A 26,058-nucleotide genomic window follows, 5' to 3' on the forward strand; every position below is an offset into this window, starting at 1 on the left:
TCCCAGCACTTTGGGAGGTGACGTGGGCCGATCACGAGGTCAAGAGATCGAGACCATCCTGGCCAACATGGTGAAACCCTGTCTCTACTAAAAGTACAAAAAAATTAGCTGAACATGGTGGCGGGTGCCTGTAGTCCCAGCTACTTGGGAGGCTGAGGCAGGAGAATCACTGCACTCCAGCCTGGCAACAGAGCAAGACTCTGTCTCAAAACAAAAAAACAAACAAACAAAAACACCACGCCTATGTGTGAATTAATTTGTCATATAATTTTCCCTTAAGACAGAGGGGCTCTGGGTTAGTAGAGATTTACAGCCAATAATGGATGGCTGGAAAAAGAAAAAGACTGTCAGAAAAATAGAAGTAAGGGATGCATCAAGGAAACTTTGCATATTTACCTCTTTTGTTGACCACCTCCATACAAGAAAGCCTCATTCTAACTAAATATGTTCTATTTTTTAAAAGTAGCTCTTTTCTAGTCATATTTAACTGGCAGTAATAAAAATAAATTAGTAGTTTGATCTGTCTGTTCCTGATAGTTATAGCACCTCATATGTGAATAGCACCATACAATTTACAACATACTTGTATATTCATTATTCAATATGATCTTTTGAGCAAATATATGGTTTGCTTATTGATTGATGAGGAATCTAACTCTCACAGGCTCAATAGTTGAAATAAAGACAGACTCCCATTCTTCAGGCTCTAAAATCTTTCTTTCCCAAACCCCATAATGCTCATGCTCATAGAACATCATTCTCAGTGGATACTCACATTTCATCACACCTTGAATTTCATAAACAGGCTTGAGAATCAGGGTACCATAAAAGTCTTTAGGAAATGGATTCGTTGAGTCCCACTTATTTGAAAAATCTGTAAGGTTTACAGTTCTTGTTCTGTTCTTAGGAATCTTCCATTCAACAATCTCCTTTAGAGTGTAAATACGTTCATCTTCACACTCGTAGAATTCTCCTTCTTGTGACAAAGGCAAATTAAATGAGTGAGTTTGATGATTCCTTGCTACTGCACAGCTCACCATTATTTCTCCATCAATCTCTTCAACTGAGTTGAGCATGATTTGCTCACCCTGCTTTATGATGAGGTTCTCTAGTTTTATATCCTTCTGATGATAGAAGCAAGGATGCCCTAGTCTACTTGGTCCAATATGAATGGTCCTTGTGATTTCTTCCATAGTAAGGTATGGAGTTTTATCAGCCACAATCTTAAAAAGACCTAAGAACAGAATTACGTGAATTAAAAAGAGAGTTCTTACAATGAAAGTTCTCACAAGAAAATCACAAGGAGAGAGTTACAACACAAGTACTGCATACATTTTTAAAGTGATATCTTTTTAAAGATTAGAGATGCTTATTTTAATCCAGAGTTCTTCTAGGTAAAATTATGAAGTATTGCTTATAGATCACTAGATCATAAGACCAGACAATACAAATGGAGACAAGGGGAAAATACCTTGAAATAGAAAAGAAACTGTTCTTGGAAATGGGAAATCTGGATGACACTGGCTCTGTTCCAACTACTTTGTGATCCCAAGCAAGGCATCTTACTTCTCAGTCACATTTTAAATTTTTTATTTTTAAAATGAGAAGATTGGATTTGGTCAGCTTTTTTATGAATATATTCTCTAGACACACTAAAATTAAAAGATATTCCCAAAGGGAACTGATTTGTAGTCACATTCATGATTAAAAGCTATATAGCTGGGCCTGCAATCCCAGAACTTTGGGAGGCTGAGGTGGGAGGGTCACTTGAGGCCAGGAGTTTGAGACCAACTTTGGCAATGTGGCAAAACCCCATCTACACAAAGAATACAAAAATTAGCTGGGTATATTGGCGTGCACCTTCAGTCCCAGCTACTTGGGAGGCTGAGGTGACAGGATTGATTGAGCTCAGGAGGTAGAGGTTGTAGTGAGCCACGATCACTCCACTGCACTCCAGCCTGGGCAACAGAGTGAGACTCTGTCTCTCAAAAAAAAATAAAAAATAAAAAATAAAAAATAAAAGCTATATAGCTTGGACTAGATAGATAGCAGTGATGGTTGCACAATATTCCAAATGTACTTAAAGCCACTGAACTGTACACTTTAAAATGGTAAAGTTAATTTTATGTGTATTTTACCACAGTGAAAAAGTATGTGCATAGGTCCAAATAATGTAAGACTTCTCAGAAACTTTAAATACACCATGACTCTCAAGAGAAGAATATGAGATGCAGAATTTACCAAATTTCTTTGATTATAAAACCCTTGTGGAAAACACACATTAATAAATCACAACATAATATATCACATAACCCTCCTTGAAAATACCAGGTTCTGTAGTTGTTCTGGACTGACTGCTCTTGACTATATGTCAATTGTTCTTCTCATTTTCTCTCATTACTTCTCTAATTTTTCCATTAGAAAACTGCACTATTTTTACTATTTCATTGATATCTATTTCACTAATTTCAGTATTTGAAATGTTGTCTCCATCAAGATAACCAACTACTACAATAAAATTTTACTACTTAAGATACAGATTTTTGTACATTGTATGTCTAAGTGGTTCTGTTTGATTTATTTTATTTTTATTTTATGGGAGCAACTGCTTTGTATCACTTTCAGAAATGCATTTACTGAATAGATTTTAATAAATTCCAGAGAAAATGAGGACAAAGAAGAAATTAGTTAATTGCTTTCTTAACCCAAAAGTAATTAATAATATTATATACTAGCATGCTCTAAGAAGATAGTGTATTTTTAAAAACTTAGTAAAATTATATAGCTTCAAAAAGTCATTTATTATTTTGTCAACAAGTGTATTCCAGTGAAATTCATCTATATATCAAATCATTTTTAGCCAATTATAGTGTCATTTTTGTATATTTTTGGTTACTGTTCAAAGATTATTTTAATCAGTTATTTTTGAAGTCATTTTTACTCATACAAACAAAAGGAATTTTGGTGATTTTTAGATATAAACTTCCTGAAAAACTGTGACTGATGCAATCTTGGCAGGAATGAGCAAGGTAGCAAATGCAACCTATCCTAAAAACTTTTAGAAATAGAATAGTGTTCACTCACTGTATGCTGTGCTTGACTAAAATAAGGGAAAGACACATTTACTTTGAAGGGATTTCTCATTTTATTATATCCTGTATCAGGGAGAGTTCAATAAAATAGTGTTCTTGAATTCACCACAGTAAATGAATTTGTGTGTGTGTGCGCGTGCCTGTGTGTGTTTAATCTCATTTGTCTGTGTGTGAAGATTTATTTCTAAGAGTCCACAATCATTATGAGGGTATAGAAAATTCAGCAGTTATTGTGAAATAAGTTTTTAAAAAATGCGTACCTAAAATCTCATAAAAGGTAGAGACACATAGTTTTATTTTTATCCTAGCTATATCGATGACATAAGTCACAGAAGAATTAATTTGGTGTCATCTTTCTTGGGGAATAGAGCTCACCTAAGGTAATAACAGACCTAAAATATTATGAAGTAGGAAAAGGCTAAAACCCTAAAGGTCATCATTATTTCAGTTAATCACACTATTCAGAGCTGTCTTGCTGGATGTCTCTATTGCAAGAAAAATGTGTCTGTGAATCTGTGCTTTTCCTTAAAAGATGATGAAGTACACAGTTTAGCATACTAAAGTGGCACAATATAGGAAAAATATTTGATTAACTTATCTCTTCATATACTATTGCAGCCAATCCAAATCATTCCTTTTTAAAAACAGCCATTGAAAGCCATAAAAACTAGGACATGTTGTAGTTGTTGTTTTAATATGATGCCATATTGGAATTTCAGTTTCACAATGAAGAAAGTTAAATATAAACTAAAGCACCACTGGGACTGATTAGATCTAAATGTGACCAACTTTTTTTTCATCTTTTTCTCAAAGTGTACAATCGTTTTATACTGGGAAAAATATGCTTTGTTATTCTTCCAAAGAAAGACAAGACACATTCCAAGACTTGAGTAATCAAGTTATTAAAATAAGCCAATATGCAACCTTTATAAAACAAGTTAACACATGAAAATAGATGTCTATTTCCACCTAGGATTGTCAGATCTTTTTTTTTTTTTTTTTTTTTTTTGAGATGGAGTCTTGCTCTGTCTCCCAGGCTGGAGTGCAGTGGTACAATTTCGGCTCACTGCAAACTCCGACTCCCAGGTTCAAGTGATTCTCCTGCCTCAGCCTCCTGAGTAGCTGGGATTACAGGTGTGCACCACCATACTCAGTTAATTTTTGTATTTTTAATAGAGACAGGGTTTCGCCATGTTGGCCAAGCTGGTCTTGAACTCCTGACCTCAGGTGATCTGCCCGCCTCAGCCTCCCAAAGTGCTGGGATTACAGGTGTGAGCCATCACACCTGGCCTGTTAGTTCTCAAAATAAATTTTATTGTTATTTTTGAATTAGGAGACATTGTTCATTAAAAAAAACACGTCACTTAACTAACATAAATCATGGGAAATGTAATAGATTGACCTGCTAAAAATTAATTAATAAATGAATGTAGTCTTTCAAGTCTTTTCCTTGAATCTTAGGTTTTGAGTGAGTTTATATTTTTAACCCATTCTTAATGATTTGCAGTTGTTATTAACAGTAATTGCAACAACTGAAATTTGTTTAGAAATTTACAAGTTTGAAAACTTTTTCATATGCATCCTTTATCCTTACAATAATCTTTTGAGGACAATGAAAGAAATATTATTACTATAGGGGGATATGAAAATAGTTACAATTTTTACAACTGGTAGTCATAGCTCTGGAATCTCAATCTGAGCTTTGACATCCAAGGTTTGCATCCTGCCACCAAGCCAGTCTTGCCTCCCTGTTGCATGTATGACTTACAAGGACATTGCTCATGAGAATAACATGTTTATGGGTCTCACCAGCCAGCCCTCTCTTTACATGGATCAGCCTTCCCCAGATGCCATGGTGTGAGAAGAACAATAATAATCTCTGGTCCTACTTTGAAGGCTTTGATAGGTTATTTCATGCACACCATTTCAATCTAAAGATGAATAGAGATACTTGAGCTAGAACTTCTAATGGAAACACTGGATTTGGGGTAGTCTTAAAAAATATACATTTGTAGAATATACCAACCTAAAATTTGTCTTGGGAATGTAACACAGTGATAGAAAAGCCACAAGAAACATGTGAAATGAGAAATATATATGACAAATATATAATAACAAGGATGTTTAAGTTGGTATATTCTATAAATCTATCAAAGCAAAAAGTTCAAAATCCTCAAAGTATTGGAATATAAAATAATAATAGTCTGAACTGAGAAGAGTCTCCAGATTTTGGTGTCAATTATAGATCACTGAACATCATCAACTAATGAGTGACTCCAACAATCTTCAAAGAAGAGTCTTCAAGAGCAGAAATAAGCAATGTGGGGGAAGTTAAAGTGTGTGATAAAGAAATGATACACAGTAATTTAACTGAGTATTTGGGAGGGCAGAACATATGTCTAAGATGGTGAGGAAGTTTCTTAAAATGTTGAGGGAAACTAAGTGAGACTATAGAATGCCTGTGTTCAAATGTCTTTACATTAATAATTGATTTGGGGCCAGGCGTGGTGAGTCACGCCTGTAATCCCAGTACTTTGGGAGGCCAAGCGGGGACAAATCATTTGAGGTCAGGAGTTCAAGGCCAGCCTGGCCAACATGATGAAACCCCGTCTCCACTAAAAATACAAAAAAAAAAAAAAAAAAAAGCTGGGCGTGGTGGTGCGTGCCTGTAGTCCCAGCTGCTAAGAAGGCTGAGGTAGGAGAATCGCTTGAACCTAGGAGATGAAGGTTGTAGTGAGCAAAGAACATGTCACTGCACTCCAGCCTGGGCAACAGAGTGAGACTCCATCACAAAACAATAATAGTAATAATAATAATAATTGAATTGAAACTGTCTGCAGTAGCTATTAATAGTTTTTCATATTGCTTTTACCTGCAGAGGTAAAAGAATATATCATAAAATCTTTCAATTCATTTTTACCTCTTTGGTTCAACCATTGCATGGGGAAAACAAATAAACTTTCCCAGTAACATTTAAACTCCTTGAAAGGAGTGACTGCAAAACCTAACACATTTGGGATGCTTAACAAATTACATATTAATAATGTTAGCTCTTAAGATCAAATGATATAATCTGATATCTAGGCCTAAAGCTTTATTGTAGTCACAGCTTATTAATAAATGTGCCGCACGTCATACATACACTTGTTCATGTTAAAACTTTCTCTCTCCCAGGCAGCGAGAGTGAGTAATAGACCTACGATGAGGAGAGAGAATGTGAGAAATTGTTATTTTCATAACCTTGATGGCAACACAGCTCCCTAGATGCTCATTAGTTCTGCAGAGCACTGTTCCTTGTGTTTTGAGAAGACACATAGAGGTATCAGGGCTAGAAAGAACCTCCACAGACCTTAGGCACCCCCAAACCTCTCACAAAGCATTGTTAAGAGGATCTTCACAATACCACATATTTGCTGTTCCTAGCCCTAGGTGATTTTAGGTAGAATTTTCAGGATTCCCAGGCCCTAGGTGATTTTGGGCAGTAGAACTTTCAGGATAAAGGGAACACAACTAGAGTGGGGTGGTTAAGATTATGGCTTGACAATTCCTATTAGCCTGGGTTTTAATTCTGGCCTCAGCCCCTTCCTTAACATGTATACTTCAGAATTTAAAGTCTCAGGGCTACAATTTCATTTTTCATAAAATGAGAAAAATTATATCATCTACCACATAAAGTCATTGTGGTGATTAAATAAGCTAATACAGGTAACATGATTAGGTAGTACTTAACAGCTAGTAAGCACCAAATGATTAAAAACATAGTGGTTATTAAGTCTCCTCATTTGCCTTTACCCTGGGATTCTAAGCCATTGTAGGATGGTTATAAGGTCAGAAAAATTGGTACCTATGTAATTTCAATGCCAACGAGGACAAATTAGATATTCTAGCCTGGATCAAAATCGAGATAACAAAATATATGGAATCTACAGCTCAGCATCTGGCACAGATTGAGCAAAAATTTCCAGGAATGATAATTTCCACAGATTTCACCAGCATGTTTGAATATGGAAATGAGCCTCAGGTGACCTCTTTAGGTGGACTGCCTTTGGAGAAATATTTCCAGGTTGCTTTGAGGAGCTTGTCCGACCCCATGCTTTGATAAATTACTTAGAATTTAACCATCATAATTTTATGCCCATAATGAGCAGATTAGAGGGAGAATAAAAGATGTAAGCACATTTTAAATGCAAATATTATGCTGCTCGTTGTTATTCACAAGGTATACATTATACACAGTTACTGAAGTTCCCTTGAACAAAGAAAACAGCAAAATGCCAAGGCATTTTTGAAAAAGTGTTTTATTCATGACTCTGAAAGGTAGCTGAAGCCAGTTGAGGGAGGACTATACCCTCCCTCTATTTTAATGATCTTAATTTTGTTAATGGAATGTTAGTAGAAAGAGTTTGGGAGCCATGTGGAGCTGATTGTGTTGTTCAGTATTGATGTTGCCTGCAAATTAAATGTACCTAAGTAGCCACCTGTTTATGCTTATGATTATGTAAAGCCCCATATGTTTCTCTCTCTACACATGGGAGGTAAATATTGAAGAAATTATTCTGGTGTGAAGGGTGAAAACAGCAGCAATTCTTCTATAACTGTCAACATATGCTGTGGTGTTTCCTTGTAACATTGTGCTTTGTCTGACATATTTGCTGATTTTTATCATGCAGTGTTCAAAAAAATCTGTTACCCATGGTTATACAAAACAATTAAAAATCAGTTTACATTAAATTCAAATTAGAAAGAGCTATAATTTCCCAATGTAACCATAAGTATTAAATGAATGTCAGGGCTTAGGATTTAAATAGATTTTGATTTGCACAATAAAGAAAACTGAATTTTTGTTTTTCTAAATTCACCAGTATATAAAAAGGAGCATTTTCTCTCTAAACACATTCTTTTGGTTCCATATTACTAGGCAATAAAACTAACTTCAACAGCATGAATTTGAAAATCCTGCCTAAAATCAGCACTGGGCTCATGAACTGGCTAACCCACAACTCTCCCAGTGGATTTGACTTGGACAGGAGCTTACTGGCCCCTGACGGTCCTCTCTGGAAGCTTTGACCTGGTACCTGGTCAGCACGAACACCTGAACAGCTCTGAGATGAATTTCTTCAGAGCACTGGGGGGTCTCGTGCAAGTAACTCCTATGGAACTGCCTCAAAACTATTCAGAGATTGACCCAGACAGTCACTTCCAGGAAAGAGCACAGCATTTGGAGCTGCTATTGTTGATCACTTTAGACACTGAAGATAAACAAATTGGGGTTTTCCAAGGTTTGTGTTTGATTAAGAGGAGTTTAAATGCTGGCTGTCTGGCAGCCCTGGATATGGCCGTCCCTGACCTTCCAATATAAAGTATACACAAAAAGACACAGAAAATGATAGAAAACGATGAAAACTTACCATATCATCAAAAACTAAGAATAATAGACCAACTACTGCAAAAAGCCAGAAGGAAGTTACCTCATAATAGGAAGAATAGAGCTGCAATGAGAAAATTCAAGGCCTACCCATGCCGGGGCTCATGAAACAGAGGAGCCCCCCCAAAATTTTTAAAAGATAATAATAATGAGAAAAACAATATTAACACTGTTGTTGAGTACATGTTATGTGCCATGGTCTGTCGTAAGCTAATCTCCTCATTTAATTTATTTGATCCTCTGAAGAATTTTGTAAGATAAATGCTATTAATGTTTTCTCTACTTTATATATGAGGAAATTGTTAAATCAAAGCACTAAAACACACCAAGGAACCCAGCCTAAATTTCTATTTGTGTGTTTGTGTTTCTGTGTGCATGTGTGTGTAGTATGTGTATATATGTATGCATATATATATATCTATATATATTCTCAAAAAAATTTTAACAAATTTAAAATAAAATTAAAATCACTCATTCTCACTGGACTGAAACAGCTGCTTTTAAAATTCTGACATTTTTTAACTTGATATATATACAGAGAGATAAAAATGTTTTAAACAATGTCGAAACTCTACTATAGACACTTCATTTGACTCCTACTTGTCTCATTTAATACTGAACCGAATAAACCTCATGCTTTACAATATTTTTCACAAATATAGTTGTTAATAGATGAATAATATGTTGTAAGGAATGTATCATGATTTACCCGATTCCTCACTGTTGGGCATTTAAGTTGATTCTATTATTTTCCTATTACAAATAATTCTAAAATGATTATTTCTTTGGAGTTGATTCGACAAGTGGAAGCACTGAGTTAAAGCTTTAAACATTATAAAGGCTCTTTTCTCAGCACAGTACTGGTTCCAGGATGGCAGAACCAAGACTAAATGTACCTGTGTCATCAATAATTATCTCTGTACATGCATAAGATGTAGATGGAATTCAAAATATATTACATGTATTTTCAAAGAAGCTACTCAATCTATTACAAAATTTATTTTCAGGAAGGATACACTCCTCAGTTAGGTTTAAGAGTGACCCTTTGACAATATTTTTCCCAACTTCATAAATGCAAAAGCTTAGATACCTATATAGGTGGAAAAGTTGTTATTGTGTTAGTACAAACTAATTTCTACACAATTATAAACCATTTGAATTTCTTCTAAGCTTTGTCCATTTTCCTATTAGTGTTCTACTAGAATATTTATTGATTTTTCTGTTTTCCATTTCAGTGACATTTAGTCTTTTAAAAATTGAGTTATCTTCCTTTGCTATTAAACATTTCTTCCTCATTTTTTTACTTTATGACAGAAAGTTTCATTTTATGTATTCAAATATATTGTTTCCTTATGGTTTTCTATTATATTTGCAACTTGAAAGTTGTTTCAAATATAGACATAAGATAGTTTTCCTTAAAATGTGATGTTTTCATCTATTTCAAATTTCTTTTGCTATGGTATAATGTTGATGATCCAATTTGATCTACTGTTTGCTACATTATTAACTATACTAGAACAATTTACTAAATAATTCTTCCTTTAAACCCAGATGTGCAGTAAAAACTTTATCAAACAGCAAATAATACTCTGCATTAAAGTCTGTTTCTGAGCTATAAACAAATGCTTAAGTGCATGGCACTAGAGTCAAATTAAAAACATTGCTGTGACGCTTCTATAACAACTAGTACCACTATTGTAAAAGTAATTTATTGATGCAGTTTTTGATTTTCTGTAAGCAACATATAGTACCATTTATTATAACTTTGTATCAGACATTAATGTTGGCAGGACAAGTACTCCCTCATTATCCTATTTTTAAAATATTTGCTTGAATATGTTCACTTGTTTATTCTCCCAAGTGATTTTTACAATTACTCTCTCAAGAGGCAACATAGTAATAATTATGATTATAATATGGAAATTTTATTCTGCATTATGTTGAACATAAATTAATTCATATGTAATTGATATATTTATAATATTCAGTTTTCTGATTCAAGCACGTCTATTTTTTAATAAATAAGTAAACTTGTATAATACTTTTTAAGTAAATAAATGAGTTAGTTATAAAATATGTTACCCCTATATATTCTAAGTGTTTATAAATGGAAAATTATAACTATATGTATTCTTATATGTAAGAATATATTCCTTTATGTACATACAGTTGTTTTACATATTTGTTCATCTTGTCATCTTACCAAGTTTCAATATTTTGTCTCATTTGATACTCTGTTTTACAGGGTAATGTTACTATTTGCAAATAATGATTACCACCTCTTTTTTTAATTTTCAATTTGTTTGAGATGGAGTCTTGCTTTCACCCAGGCTGGAGTGTAGTGGTGGAGTCACAGATCACTGCGGCCTCGAACTCCTGGGTTCATGCCATCCTCCCACCTAAGCCTTTCAAAGAGCTGGGATTACAGGCATGAGCCACTATGCCCAGCCAATTAACAACTCATTTCTAAAAGTCTTTTAATTCATTAATTTCTGGCCATATTTACTTACTCGCAATTCTAGAAAGAAGTTAAATAGGTCAAAACAAACACCCTTATAAGAACAACTCTTCCCTTGCATGACTCACCTAAGCACTGCACATCTTGGTTCCCCTACCTGACTACAGGGCATCGTTGACAGTGTGACCCTCTGCCAGGTCTGTCAGGCCCTGCCATTTTCAAGGATGTTGAAGATTTAAAATTTCATGTTTCTAAAAAAATGGAGACAGGGACACTAAAAGCCATTAAATTGTATATTTTAATCAGGTGAATGTTGTTATGTGGAAATTGTTATAATGCTATTAACTCAAAAAAATGAGATGGGAAAGACAAACAGTTAAGTCACACCCTCAAAAAAGCAGTTAGATTGGCCCCCTCAAAAGTTCCTAGTTGGAATGCAAATTAGCAGAGCCTTTATGAAATGTGATTGACAATATGTATCAGATCTTTAAAAACATTTTTACTTCTATGTATATAAGATTATTATAATAATCAGAAATGCAGACAAAATGTTAGTTTAAAAGGCTGTTCATCACAGTACAAATTGTATAAATGGCCATGTTCAGGATGGATTGAATACATTATGGAATATGCATGTGAGGGACTATTACCTAGAAAATAAAAATTATGCCTTGAAGAATATTTAATGACACAGGCAAGTCCTCAGAATAAGATTTTTTCCCATTATGCTAAAACATGTGTCTATATGTATGCATGTGTACAATGTACTGGAAAACAACAGAAACAAATGTATCTAATATTAATGCTAGATGAGTCTGGTGATGATATTATAGTGAGTTTTATTTACTTTCCTGAATTTTCTCCCATTTTCTAATTTTCTACAACATGCATGTGTTACTTGTAAAACAGAAAAATAAATACATCTTATAGCTTTAAAAACTCGGGTTCTTTATCTTCACACAAAATCCTGCACATGAATGTTTATAGCAGCCTTATTCGTAATTGCCAAGGCTTGGAAGTAATAACTATGCCCTTCAGTAGGTGAATGGATAAACTGTGGTACATCCAGACAATGAAATATTACTCAGCACTAAAAATAAATGACTTATTACATCATGAAAAGCCATGTAAGAACCTTAAATATGTATTAGTAGGTGAAAGAAGTCAATCTTTAAAGGCTACATACTATATGATTCCAACTATATGACGCTCTGAAAAAGGCAAAATATGGAGACAGGAAAAGGATCAGTGGTTACCACGGATTAGAGGAGAGAGGGGAATGAGTAGGCGGAGCACAAAGGATTTTTAGGGTGGTGAAACTATTTTGTATGACACTATCAAAGTGGATATGTGTCATTCTACATTTATCAAAACCCATAGAATGTACAACACCAAAAATGAACCCAAATATAAACTGTGAACTTTGAGTGAAGATGATGTGTCAATGAAGGTTCACTACTTGCAACAAATGTACCACTCTAGTGTTGTACATTGATGGTGGGGGAGGCTGCCATATATGGCATGTTGGGGGTCAGGAAGTATAGGGAAACTCTGCTTGCATTCCAGTGGCAAAACCTCTAAATCCCCAAAATGTAACTGTGTATAATTATAGAAATGTTCTCTACCAACGTTCAGTTAAGATGCAAGAAACAGAAGATCCAATTGTTTAAGGGCAATCTAGTTCCTCTCATGAGAATCCTTCCCTGCTGGTACTGTTAAGGTAGCATCATAAAAAGCTTTTAGAATTGTGCCGGTAAGAAAGACGGATGGTAAGGACAATGAGTGATGAGATAGATTTTAGAAGATGGAGATAAAACATTAATACCAAGAAAACTTATAGAACAGCACCAGCTGTGGAACAGCCTCCTTTAAAATGATCTTTCTGACAGAATTCTGATCTGATATTACAATGCACATAGATGAGTAACAGAATCATTTTAACCTAGAACTGCAAAAGCTGTTTGTCTTTTGGCTAATATACATGGTAGTTATCCAAAGACCAAGGATGCAGAGAAATAATCTGATCATGAACTAAAAAGCAAGAGAAAAAAAAATAGACCAAGAAATAGATCTTAAAATTATTTTAAAAGCCTGAATTTCTTTTGCATGCTGATTAATTCACATTTTCTTGCATAGTTTATACAAAATACCCCTTTTTGTCAAAGAAAAGATGTTGTAAGGTAGACACAGCTGAGTTTACTTTGCTTAAGTGAGCACAGTGGGAAATAGTACCTTAAGAGAAGTTGACCCAGAAAATTTGGAAAAATAGCCCCTGATTCCTTGGATAGCGAATTATCTAAAAGGCAGGAGCTCTATTTAGGGCTGCTCTGAGTCATGTTTTATCATAACATCCAGATGGAAAAACAGTAGCAACTTCTGACTTACATTCCTTGCTTCTTTTAACAAAAGTCCCTAAAAAACAGAAGATGGAAAGGTTATTTAAAGCTAGCAAATGTATATATTTTTTGCATAATAATTTTCCTATCAGGTCCTTTAGAAACTTATATTTTAATCAAATAAAAAAATCAGCTACAATAATAAAATAAAGATGAAAGATTGATCATTTCAATAGTAGATGAAAATACAATGAATGACGATTGAATGTAATACATATTTTCTGTTAATGGAGTATATAATTCTCCAAATGAAACAATGGTCATTGTTAATGTGTTAGAATTAACAATGTTAATGTATCACATATTTGGTACCCAGGCATAAAGGAGCAGATTTTATAAATTTTAGCCATTTAGCCTTAATTAATTTCTTACAGAAACAATTCTATTAATTCAATTTCTGTCATCAGTTATTTTAATACTTTTCTGAATTTTTCACATGTCCAATAAAAATGATTTTTTTAAGTCTTACGGCTTAAGGGATATAGTCATGTTGGAAGAGAATTCTCCGTAGCATTTCTATACGCCTTGGGAGCTAGAGGTAGCAGGTTTCTTTTCAACTAGTATAAAAATGATAAGAGAATGTCTCCCTCCCCAGAGACATTCTAGGATAGAAAAGTCTTTCTCCTCACCTCAAAGGAATTATTTTACATTCCAAGGTAATAAATATAATTTTTCTTGGAGGGCAAAAGTTGGCAGTTCGCCAGCAACCCCTTATTTGGGGTTTGTAAGCTCAGGGTTCCCCAATTATGTGTTCAGCAACCCCCTGTGTCACTTTGGGGGTCTTGGGGGTCAAAGACAACCTCTGAGACATGAAGTTTATCCTGCCTGCTGTGCAACTCGGGCTCACTGTCTCCTTAGTGATGTAATTCATGGAAGGGTGGTATCACCCTAGTAGCTTCCTGGCTACTTAAGAGTTTCCTGACAACTTGATAGATGAAATCCTTTTATCTGGTAGAAATTAATTTAAGTAGGAAGCACGTCCCAAAGCTTGTTTTTAATACATGGTTTAAATCTATGAAACATATGAAAGAAATTTTCTATTTAGTGAATTTAGTAAATTTTCTAACATTCATCTAAAAATTTCTGTTTCCTCTTGTTCTAGGAGTGATATTAGTTCAAATCTTTTTAACATTACAATGCTACTGCATATAGTAGAAAAATTCCTTATTATGGCATTAACGTTGATTGACAAAAATATCACCTCTTTTTTTTTTTCTATGATTAAGCAAGAAGTGCTTCAGAACACAAATCTGGACCTATACATACTGTTCATATCTGTTATTTCCAATACTGTACCATTAACGTAGCCATTGTGCTGAGCACTTGAAATGTGGCTACTTGAATTTGGACAGTCTAAATTGAGATGTACTATAAGTGGAAAATATATATCAGATTTTAAAGGGTTAGCATGAAAAGATGTAAAATATTTCGATAATTTTATATCAATAAGTTGTTGAAAGTATAATATCCTAGATACACATTTTAAATAAAACATATTAAAATTAATGTCACCTTTCTTTAATTTTTAAAGAAAGATATCTGTGCTAGGTAGCCTCCAAGATGGTGCCCAGTTATTTCTCCCTCCTGGTAGTCACACCCTTGTTCAGTGCCCTCCCAGATTGCACTAGCATTGATCTGTGTGATCAAAAGGGTATGGTAGAAGTGATGGTATGTCACTTCTGAGATTAGGCCATAGAAGACTGGTTTCAGTCTTGGGCTTGTTTCCACTCTCAGACCACTAAGTCAGTGAGAACCCTATGGAGAGGACCATGTGGTAAAGAATTGAAGCCTCCCAGAACAGCCATGTGAATGAACTTGATAATAGATCTCCAAATCACAGTCAAATCTTCAGAGACTCCATTCCCTGCCTACGGCTTCACTGCAACTCCATGAAAGACCCTGAGGCAGAACTATAGCATCTAAAGCACTCCCGATTCCTCAACCTCATAAATTATGTGAGAAATGTTGTTTTAAGTTGCCAAATTTAGACACAACTTACTATGCAGATATATGTAAGTAGTAAATGTGGATATTGAACATTTGAAATCACATATGAGGTTCATATTATATTTTTATTGGACAGTGCTAGGGCAGACTCAGCGTAACCACTTGCTATGTGATTTGGGGCAAATTACTTGGTGATTCTGTTTTCTCATCTGTAAAGTCTGAATTCAATTAGTAATTTATATATACATAAAAGTGTTTAGAAAAGTTTTATATGTAAAAATATTAAGAACAATGTCTGGTACATCTTTGGTATCTTCATTTGAGTGTGTGTTATGGACAGGATAGGGTAAAGGGTAGTAGAGGATGTTCCATCTCAAACATTTCCTTCATGTCTGCTACCTCCCGAAACAAAATTCCTATACAGCAACAAAATTCATAGAGTATAGTCTAAATATTAAAACAGAAAAATGTCTTTATCTGGCCTTATAATTTTAAGGGTGGTTTTATAGATGCAACTACAGTCTTCCTTCACCATATCATTTGGAGAAAATGTGAACTTGCTGTTTGGGAAAAAAAAAAATCTATGTTCTTCATAAAAATGGTATTGAAACACTCTCAGGCTATTTCTCATGACTAAGAGAATATGTTTATTATTCATGCTCCATAACACTCTGAAAGAGGGACAAATCTTTCCAGGAGGTAATCCAGAAATTTGGAACTTCACTATAAACCACACATGACATGATTTACCAATCTATGGAGATAATGTAATCAACTACCGAATAGGATATATTTTTGTTGCTTTTGGCAAGATTGGCATGTTTTCTAGCTCATAAAATACTTCAGCTAGAAAGAGTGTTTTCTAAAAGCAGTATGTTTTGTTTCATTCATTACTGAAATGATTGCTTATTATTTCTTTTAAAATAATTGAACATTTTTGAGGTGTCAAAAGAGACATATGGAAATAAAATATTAATATAGGATGAAACCAGTGGTGCATATATTTGGAGTTCAGATCCCCATTCAAATTTTAGTAAAAAAAAAAAAGGCTCCAGTATATCCCCTGAAAGTGTGCTTGTCAAACTCTGCAAATCTTTACCCTCTTGACTTTTTCTTGAGCTTGCATTTGCTGAAGCTGCATCTACAAAGCTATGTTTATTGGTCAAAGGCTGGGTATCTTTCCTCAGTAGATTTTCTTTATTTACAAAGAAGTAATTCTGGGCACTCTTGCCAAGGTATTGTCATCTTCAATACTTTTAAATTATTGGATAAATTTGAGGATATATGAGTTTACATACTTTAATACAGAAGAGCAGGTCAATTTTTTTCAAAAGTCGAAAAATTAACCAAATAATTGGAGCAACCTGGGAAGCATTTATTGAAGAAAAATGGCTGAATCTTGGTAAGAACAGCAAACTTTGTGGCACTTTAACTTGTATTCCCATTCTCTCCTCCCCGACACTCAGGTCCACAGTAACCTTGAAAACTAACAACCTGTAATCACGAAAAAATAATCAACTTGACAGTCATAGGAGAAAGCAGTAAGAGGTTGAAGTATCTTCAAAGCTCAATCCCAGAGAATTGTTATTATTTGACATATCTGGTGGCTCTCTGGAAGATCACACTTGCATGGTTGTCTCTTTGATCTCATTTTGAACTCATTATTGGGGAAAGGCTTTTCTCAGAGCACTTGCCAAAAATAATAAAAGAAAATTGTTTAACTTTTGTGGCTACCTGCAGTGATGGGAAAAAAAATAATAGGCTAACCCAAAAACTTAAAAAGAATAGCTGGGAAATGAGATTTCCATAAAAAAAATTGAAAAGTTCCAACATATTCCTAAGAATCCAGAAAGTCACATGAGTAATTTTAAACACATGCCCAGGACTGTTTGCATACGCAAGAAAGACCCACAAAAGCCCTCACCTCTCAATTCTGGCTAACTGAGGCTCTACCTGAGCCCAAATTCAAGGCTAAGCTAGAATTTTCAATTACCTGACTGAGTGTTGACAGAATGTTCCCAAATGAACAACAGAGCCCTTCAACACATACTGAAAACATGGTTTCAACTGTGTAAGTAAATCTCTGTTCAGACATCAGTTGTCCACTAAGCTAACTAAGCAGGGACTTCTGTGGCCACACATGATGGAGAATGCAGACTTTACAGATTTAGTTCAGAAAATTCACTAAACAAACAACTACCAATAACAGCAAGCCCTGGAAAAAGGAAACAATTTGATTATACAATTGCCACATTATAGCATTTAAAACATCCAGTTTCAAACAAAAATTATGAGAAGGCAAAGGAACAAGAAAGTATGACCTGTACACAGTGGGAGAGGGCAAGCAATCAATAGAAGCTGTTCCTGCAGAGTGAGATTCACCAAGAAAAAAAGAGAGAAGATTTAAATAAGCTCAATTAGAAATGAAATTGGAGATATTACAACCAATACCACATAAATACAAAATATCATTCAAAACTGCTATGAACACCTTTATGTGAACAAACTAGAAAATCTAGAGGAATTGGATAAATACCTGGAAGCATACAATCCTCCTAGATTAAATCACAAAGAAATGGAAACCATGAGCAGACCAATAACAAGCAGTGAGATTGAACCAGTAATTTAAAAATTGCCAACCAAAAAAAGCCCAGGGCCAGATAGATTCACAGCTGAATTCTACTAGACATTCCAAGAAGAATTACAACCAATCCTACTGAAACTATTCCAAAAAAATAGAGAAACATAGAATCCTCCCTAAACATTCTATGTAGCCAGTATCATCCTAACACCCAAACCAGGAAAGGCCTTAACAAAAAAAAAGAAAGCTACAGACAAAAATCCCTGAATATAGTTGCAAAAATCCTCAACTAAATATTAGCTAACTAAATCTAATAGCAAATCAAAAAGATAATACATCATTATCACATGAGTTTCATCCCAGGGATGCAGAGATAGTTTAACCCAAGTAAATAAATGTGATACATCACATAAACAGAATTAAAAACAGAAATCACATAATTGTCTCAATAGATGCGGAAAAAGCATTTGATAAAATTCAGCATCTCTTTATGATAGAAACGCTCAAAAAAATAGGTATAGAAGGGACTTAGCTCAAAGTAATAAAAGCCACATATGACAAACCCACAGCCAACATCATACTGAATGGGGAAAAGTTGAAAGCATTCCCACTGAGAACTGGAATAAGACAAGGATGCCAACTTTCACCACTTCTCTTTAACATAGTACTGGAAGTCCTAGCCACAGCAATTAGACCAGAGAAAGAAATAAAGGGCATCCAAATTGGAAAAGAGGAAGTCAAACTGTTGATATTTGCCAATGATATCATCGTACATCTAGAAAAACCTAAAGACTCATCCAAAAAGCTCCCAGATCTGATAAACAAATTTAGCAAAGTCTCAGGTTACAAAATCAATGTACACAAATCAGTAGCACTGCTTTAAATCAACAATGACCAAACTGAGAATCAAATCAAGAACGCAATCCCTTCACAATAGCTGCAAAAGAAACCTAAACAAAAACAAAAACCAACCTTATATTTTAACCAAGGAGGTGAAAGAACTTTATAAGAAAAACTAAAACACACTGCTGAAAGAAATCATCAGTAACACAAACAAATGGAAACACATCCCATGCTCACAGATGGGAAGAGTCAATATTGTGAAAATGACCACACTGCCCAAAGGAATCTACGGATTCAATGCAATTCCCATCAAAATACCAGCATCATTCTTTACAGAATTAGAAAAAGCAATCCTAAAATTTTTATGGAACCAAAAAGAGCCCACAGAGCCAAAGCAATACTAACCAAAAAGAACAGATCTGGAGGGATCACGTTACTCAATTTCAAATTATTATTATTATTATTATTATTATTATCATTATTATTTTATTATACTTTAAGTTTTAGGGTACATGTGCACAATGTGCAGGTTGGTTACATATGTACACGTGTGCCATGTTGGTGTGCTGCACCCATTAACTCGTCATTTAACATTAGGTATATCTCCTAATGCTATCCCTCCCCCCTCCCCCCCACCCCACAACAGGCCCCGGTGTGTGTGTGATGTTCCCCTTCCTGTGTCCATGTGTTCTCATTGTTCAATTCCCACCTATGAATGAGAACATGCGGTGTTTGGTTTTTTTGTCCTTGTGATAGTTTGCTGAGAATGATGGTTTCCAGCTTCATCCATGTCCCTACAAAGGACATGAACTCATCATTTTTTATAGCTGCATAGTATTCCATGGTGTATATGTGCCACATTTTCTTAATCCAGTCTACCATTGTTGGACATTTGGGTTGGTTCCAACTCTTTGCTCTTGTGAATAGTGCTGCAATAAACATACGTGTGCATATGTCTTTATAGCAGCATGATTTATAATCCTTTGGGTATATACCCAGTAATGAGATGGCTGGGTCAAATGGTATTTCTAGTTCTAGATCCCTGAAGAATCGCCACACTGTCTTCCACAATGGTTGAACTAGTTTACAGTCCCACCAACAGTGTAAAAGTGTTCCTATTTCTCCACATCCTCTCCAGCCCCTGTTGTTTCCTGACTTTTTAATGATCGCCATTCTAACTGGTGTGAGATGGTATCTCATTGTGGTTTTGATTTGCATTCCTCTGATGGCCAGTGATGATGAACATTTTTTCACATGTCTGTTGACTGCATAAATGTCTTCTTTTGAGAAGTGTCTGTTCATATCCCTTGCCCACTTTTTGATGGGATTGTTTGTTTTTTTCTTGTAAATTTGTTTGAATTCATCGTAGATTCTGCATATTAGCCCTTTGTCAGATGAGTAGATTGCAAAAATTTCCTCCCATTTTGTCGGTTCCCTGTTCACTCTGATGGTAGTTTCTTTTGCTGTGCAGAAGCTCTTTAGTTTAATTAGATCCCATTTGTCAATTTTGGCTTTTGTTGCCATTGCTTTTGTTGTTTTAGACATGAAGTCCTTGCCCATGCCTATGTCCTGAATGATATTGCCTAGGTTTTCTTCTAGGGTTTTTATGGTTTTAGGTCTAACATTTAAGTCTTTACTCCATCTTGAATTAATTTTTGTATAAGGTGTAAGGAAGGGATCCAGTTTCAGCTTTCTACATATGGCTAGCCAGTTTTCCCAGCACCATTTATTAAATAGGGAATCCTTTCCCCATTTCTTGTTTTTGTCAGGTTTGTCAAAGATCAGATAGTTGTAGATATGCGGCATTATTTCTGAAGGCTCTGTTCCGTTCCATTGGTCTATATCACTGTTTTGGTACCAGTCCCATGCTGTTTTGGTTACTGTAGCCTTGTAGTATAGTTTGAAGTCAGGTAGCGTGATGCCTCCAGCTTTGTTCTTTTGGCTTAGGATTGACTTGGCAATGCGGGCTCTTTTTTGGTACCATATGAACTTTAAAGTAGATGCCATCCCCATCAAGCTACCAATGACTTTCTTCACAGAATTTCAAATTATACTACAAGGCTATAGTCACCAAAACAACATAGTACTTGTATGAAAATATGCACATAGACCAATGGAACAGAATACAGAACCCAAAAATAAAGCCACATACTTACAGTCAGGTGATCATCAACAAAGCATACAAAAACGTAAATTAGGGAAACAATATAATATTCAATAAATGGTGCTAGAAAAACTGTCAAGCCACATGTACAAGAATGAAACTTGATCCCCATTTCTCATGTTATACAAAAATCAACTCAAGATGGGTCAAAGGTTGATATATAAGACCTGAAACCATAAAGTTTTGGAAGATAACATCAGAAAAATTATTCTGGAAATGAGCTTAGGCAAATAATTCATGACTAAGACACCAAAAGCAAATGCCACAAAAATAAATAAATGGGACCTAATTAAACTGAAGAGTTTCCACACAGCAAAAGAAATAAGCAGCAGAGTAAACAGACAACCCACAAAGTGGGAGAAAATATTTGCAAACTATGCATCCAACCAAGGACTAGTATCTAGAATCTATAAGGAACTCAAACAAATAAGCAAGAAGAAAACTAATAATCCCACCAACAAGTGGGCAAATGACATGAACAGCTATTTCTCAAAAGACTATACACATATGAACAACAAACATATGAAAAATGCCCAACATAACTAATAATCAGGGAAATGCAAATTAAAACCACAATGAGATACCACCTTACTCCTGAAAGAATAGCCATAATAAAAAAGTCAAAAAACAATAGATGATAGATGTTGGCATAAATCTCATGAAAAGGAAACACTTTTAGACTGCTGGTGAGAATATAAATTAGTACAACCACTATGGAAAACAGTATGGAGAGTCCTTAAATAACCAAAAGTAGAACAATCTGGCAATTCCATTACTGCATATCTACTCAAAGGAAAAAAAGTCATTGTATGAAAAAGACACATGCATACACATGTTTATAACAGCACAATTCACAATTGCAAAGATATGGAACTGACCTAACTGTCCATCAACCAACAAATGGATTAAAAAATGTAGTATATATACACCATGGAATATTACTCATCTGTAAAAAGAAATGAAATAATGTCTTTTGCAGCAACTTGGATGGAGTTGGATGCAATTATTTTAACTGCAATAACTCAGGAATGAAAAACAAAATATCATATTTTCTCACTTACAAGTAGGAGCTAAGCTATGAGGACACAAAGGCATAAGAGTGATAAATGGAATTTGGGGACTTAGCGGGGAAGGTTGGAAGGGGGTGAGGGATTAAAAGACTACATATTGGGTAGAGTGTTCACTGCTTTGTTGGTGGGTGCACTAAAATCTCAGAAATCACCACTAAAGAACTTATCCATGTAATCAAAAACTACTTGTAACCCTGAATCTATGGAAATAATAATAATAATAATAACATAACCTGTCTCTAAGAAAGCCCAGATATCAGACTTACTAGAGAAGAAAAACTTAAATTAGCTATTTAAAATATATACAAAGAACTAAAGAAAATCGTGTCTACATAACTAGAACAAAAGTATGAGAATAATATCTTACCAAATAGATAACGTAAATCAAATGTGAAGAAAATGCAATTGAGATTATACATTCAGGGGCAGAGGAAAAAAAGTATAAAGAAAAGAACAAAGTCTCAAACACCTATGGGTCACCTTAAAGCATAAGAATATAAGAATAATAGGATTCCTAAAAGGAGAGCAGAGAGAGAGAGGTATAGAAAGAATATATTTTTAAAAAATGGCAAAAACTTTCAAAATTTGATGAAAAACAATCTACACATTCAAGAAACTTAATACACTTCAAGTAGACTAAACTCAAAGATTCATGCCTAGACATGTGATGATCAAATGGTTGAAAATCAAAGACAGCCTTGGAATCTCTCAAAAGAATGAGAAGACAGGCCACGGAATGGGAGAAAATATTTGCAAGAGTCAAATCTGATAAAGACTGTTACCCCAAATATGTAAAGAATTCTTAAAACATAACAAGAAAAACAAGAACTCAATTTTTAAAAAAATGAGCAAAAGACTTGAACAGACACCTCACCAAAGAAGATGTACTGATAGCAAACAAGCATATGAGAAGCATATCCTGAATACATGCCATCAGGGCATTGCAAATTAAAACAATGATATACCATAGGCGTCTACTTATAAAATGTCCAAAATCCAAAATATTGACAAAGCAAAATGCTGGTGAGGATGTGGAACAAAAGAAACTCTCATTTATTGTTTTTGGGAATGCAAAATTGTACAGCTACTTTGGAATATAGTTTGGCAGTTTCTTTAAACTAAACATACTCTTACTATACAGTCCAATAATCACACTCCTTGGTATTTACCCAAAGGAGTTGAAAACACAACCTACCTTAAATGTGCTCAGAACACTTACATTAGCCTGCAGTTAGTAAAAGCAAAATTCAAAATTTGATGTATGCTTTCTATGGAATGCATATTGCTTTTGCATCATGGTAAAGCTGAAAAATTATAATCATGTCATCATACGTCGGGGACTGTCTGTAGTTTGAAAGTAAAAGAATAAAAGATGAGAGACCTTGCAAATATTAACTGAAAGAAAACTGGAGTGACTATACTAATACCAGACAAAATAGACTTTAAAACAAAAATTGCTACTAGAGTCAAAGAATATTATATAATGATAAAAGGGTCACTCCATCAACAAGAGATAACAATTACAAATACATATACCCCTACCATCAGAGCCTGCAAATACATGAAGCAAAAGCTGACAGAATTGAAGGGAAAATAAACAATTCAACAATAGTAGCTGGAAACATCAACACTTCACTTTCAACAATGACTAAAACTAGAAAGAAGATACACAAAGAAATAGAAGACTTGAACAATACACATAAACCAACAGACATCTGTAGAACACTTACCCAACAAAAATAGAAAATATATTCTTCTCAAGTGAATACAGAACATACTCTAGATCATATATTAGTCCAAAAAAAACAAGTCTCAATACATTTAAAAGGATTGAGTCATACAAAATATGTCATCTGACTATAATAGAATAAAATTAGAAATCAATAGCAAAAGGAAATTTTGGGAAATTTACAAATGAGGAAGAATGTTTTAAAATACCATTTGACTTTTTAAGTCAAAAATCTAATTGGGAACTTAAATAGTTTTAAAATAGTATAAATAAAGAGATGCTGCTATTAAAATTTTTGAATAACATTAGTATCTTTGATTTCTATCTTTCTCCTTAGTGCTGATGTAGAAGAATTATCCCTGTATCTGGGATCCCTTTCATCATTATCTAGGAGTTCTCTTTGAAGAAAGAAACTATACCCTGACCAGTGCCAATCACTTTACCTTTCCATTTTCACTCTGTCCTTTACAATAAAACTGTTTTATAAACATCATTTTCAAATTGTCACTTAATAGATGCAAGATTATCATGCTAATTGGAAGTTCAAAAGAATATTCTAAATAGCAACTCCCCAAATTAAACTGTTAGCCAAAAACTAAGTGTTTTCACTATTCTAATAAGAAAAATTCCTTCTACCAAAGATTCTAGTCATTTTAACTTACTAAATATTTATTATGTGCATCTTTTTCTAAATACCATGGGGATTATTGTAATAAATAAGATTCAGATTCTGCCTCAGCAAACTTGTGATCTATTAGACAGATGGTGGTAGTCAGACAAGTACACAAATAGCCTCAATTACATGCAAAATGTGATAAATGCAATGATTAAGGCACGAAAAACTATAGTGATTTAAAAAGGGAATTGTTACATCTAATTAGAGTACTTAAGAGAGGCATCTTATAAAGTAATGGTTCTCAACACTGGCTGCTCATTAGTATCACACTGGGAGCTTTAAGAAACCTTGATGACCAGACTTTGCCACAGAGCAAACAAATCAGAATATCTCATGTAAGTGGCCTGAACATCAGAATTTTTTAAAGCTCCCTAAGTGATTCTAATGTGCAGCCAAATTTGAGAATCATTGTTATAAAAGATGAGTAAGAAAGAAATAGAATTGAACAATGTGGAAAGTTTCATTTGAAAGGGGACTGAATACTAGAGCACTTGAAAAAATCCTCACTTCAATATAGCTAATATATTTTCATTCTTCCAACCTCAGCCCAATTAAAACATTCCCTAAAAAGCTTTTCCTGACTCCTCCAATGACAGTAATAATATCTTAATAATGGTAACAAAAGCTGACACTTTTTTATGCACCTTTCTATATGCCATGTACCTTTCTAAACACTAAATATATTTCAATACGTAGCCCTCCCAATAACACTAGGAGATAGACAGTATTATTATTCCCATTTTACATGAAAGGAGGGTAAATAACTTGTCAAAGTTATTCAGCTAAGAAGTGGCAGAGCTGGGATTCAAGTACAATGGCTGCAGAATCCCTGTTCTGAAACACAACCAACTATAGTCTGATATTCCTTTTCAAGCCCCACAAAGAACACAAGTATACTTCCATCAAACCATGAAACACATCATATTGTTAAGATTTATGAGATTTTTCTCTTCCACTGGTCATTCATTCATTCATTCAGTTAACAATTCCTGAGCACACACTCTGTGCCAGAAATTGTGCTTGGTATCAGAAATACAAAGTCACATGTTCATATTTTATGTCAAGGAGTTTTAGTCTACAGCAGAGGTCAGCAAACTACAGTAGATGAGTCAAATCCTGCTTGTCACCTGTTTTTGTAAATAAAGTTTTATTGAGCCATAGCCATGCTCATTGGTTTATGTATTATCCAGAGCTGCTTTCGTGCTACCACATAAATAGCATAGTGAAATAGGTGTGACAGAGACCCTCTGGCCACAAAACCTAAAAGATTTACTATTTGGCTCTTTATAGAAAAAGTCTGCCAACCCCTAGTGTAAAAAATATGGCAAATGAGAAAGTCATCAATGACTATCCAGTGAGGTGTATGTTATGAGGCCCAACATACTATGGGAACATAAAAGAGAAATCTAGATTAGGTTAGAGGGTCAGCAAAAGTCTTCTAGATGGCATGATATTTGAGCTAGTTTTGGAGGGCTGAGTAGAGTCAATTAGATAAAAAAGACCAGGCCGACTTTTCAGTAATATTAGACAGGCAAGGTCAACGGTGATCCAAGGAGCTAGAGTAATGACAGTAGGAATAGCAAAGAGGGTAGATAGGCTTAAATGATGTTACTTAGTTCTACAGAATTTATGAAAATATATCTTTGATTTCTTGGTTCTCATTATTTAGCACAACTA

The 26,058-nt window shown here is 34.5% G+C and overlaps 1 protein-coding gene across 12 annotated transcripts in view; it reads right to left on the reverse strand.

Annotated features, from left to right (window-relative positions):
* THEMIS (thymocyte selection associated) overlaps positions 1 to 26,058 on the reverse strand; it is a 221,968-nt gene that overhangs the window by 132,073 nt on the left and 63,837 nt on the right. For 5 of the 12 annotated variants that reach the window (XM_047418766.1, NM_001164687.2, NM_001010923.3 and 2 more), the window contains one exon: positions 776 to 1,234. The exons of 1 other annotated variant lie outside the window; for it this stretch is intronic. In XM_047418766.1, coding sequence (XP_047274722.1) covers positions 776 to 1,234 — 459 coding nt within the window. Of the gene's footprint in view, positions 1 to 775; positions 1,235 to 13,207; positions 13,388 to 23,195; positions 23,321 to 26,058 lie in introns of all 12 variants that reach the window. 6 more of the 12 variants (XM_047418764.1, NM_001394520.1, XM_047418767.1 and 3 more) reach the window with 3 other exon arrangements.

This window comes from Homo sapiens, chromosome 6 (genome assembly GCF_000001405.40).
Source record: "Homo sapiens chromosome 6, GRCh38.p14 Primary Assembly".
Classification (NCBI taxonomy): domain Eukaryota; kingdom Metazoa; phylum Chordata; class Mammalia; order Primates; family Hominidae; genus Homo; species Homo sapiens.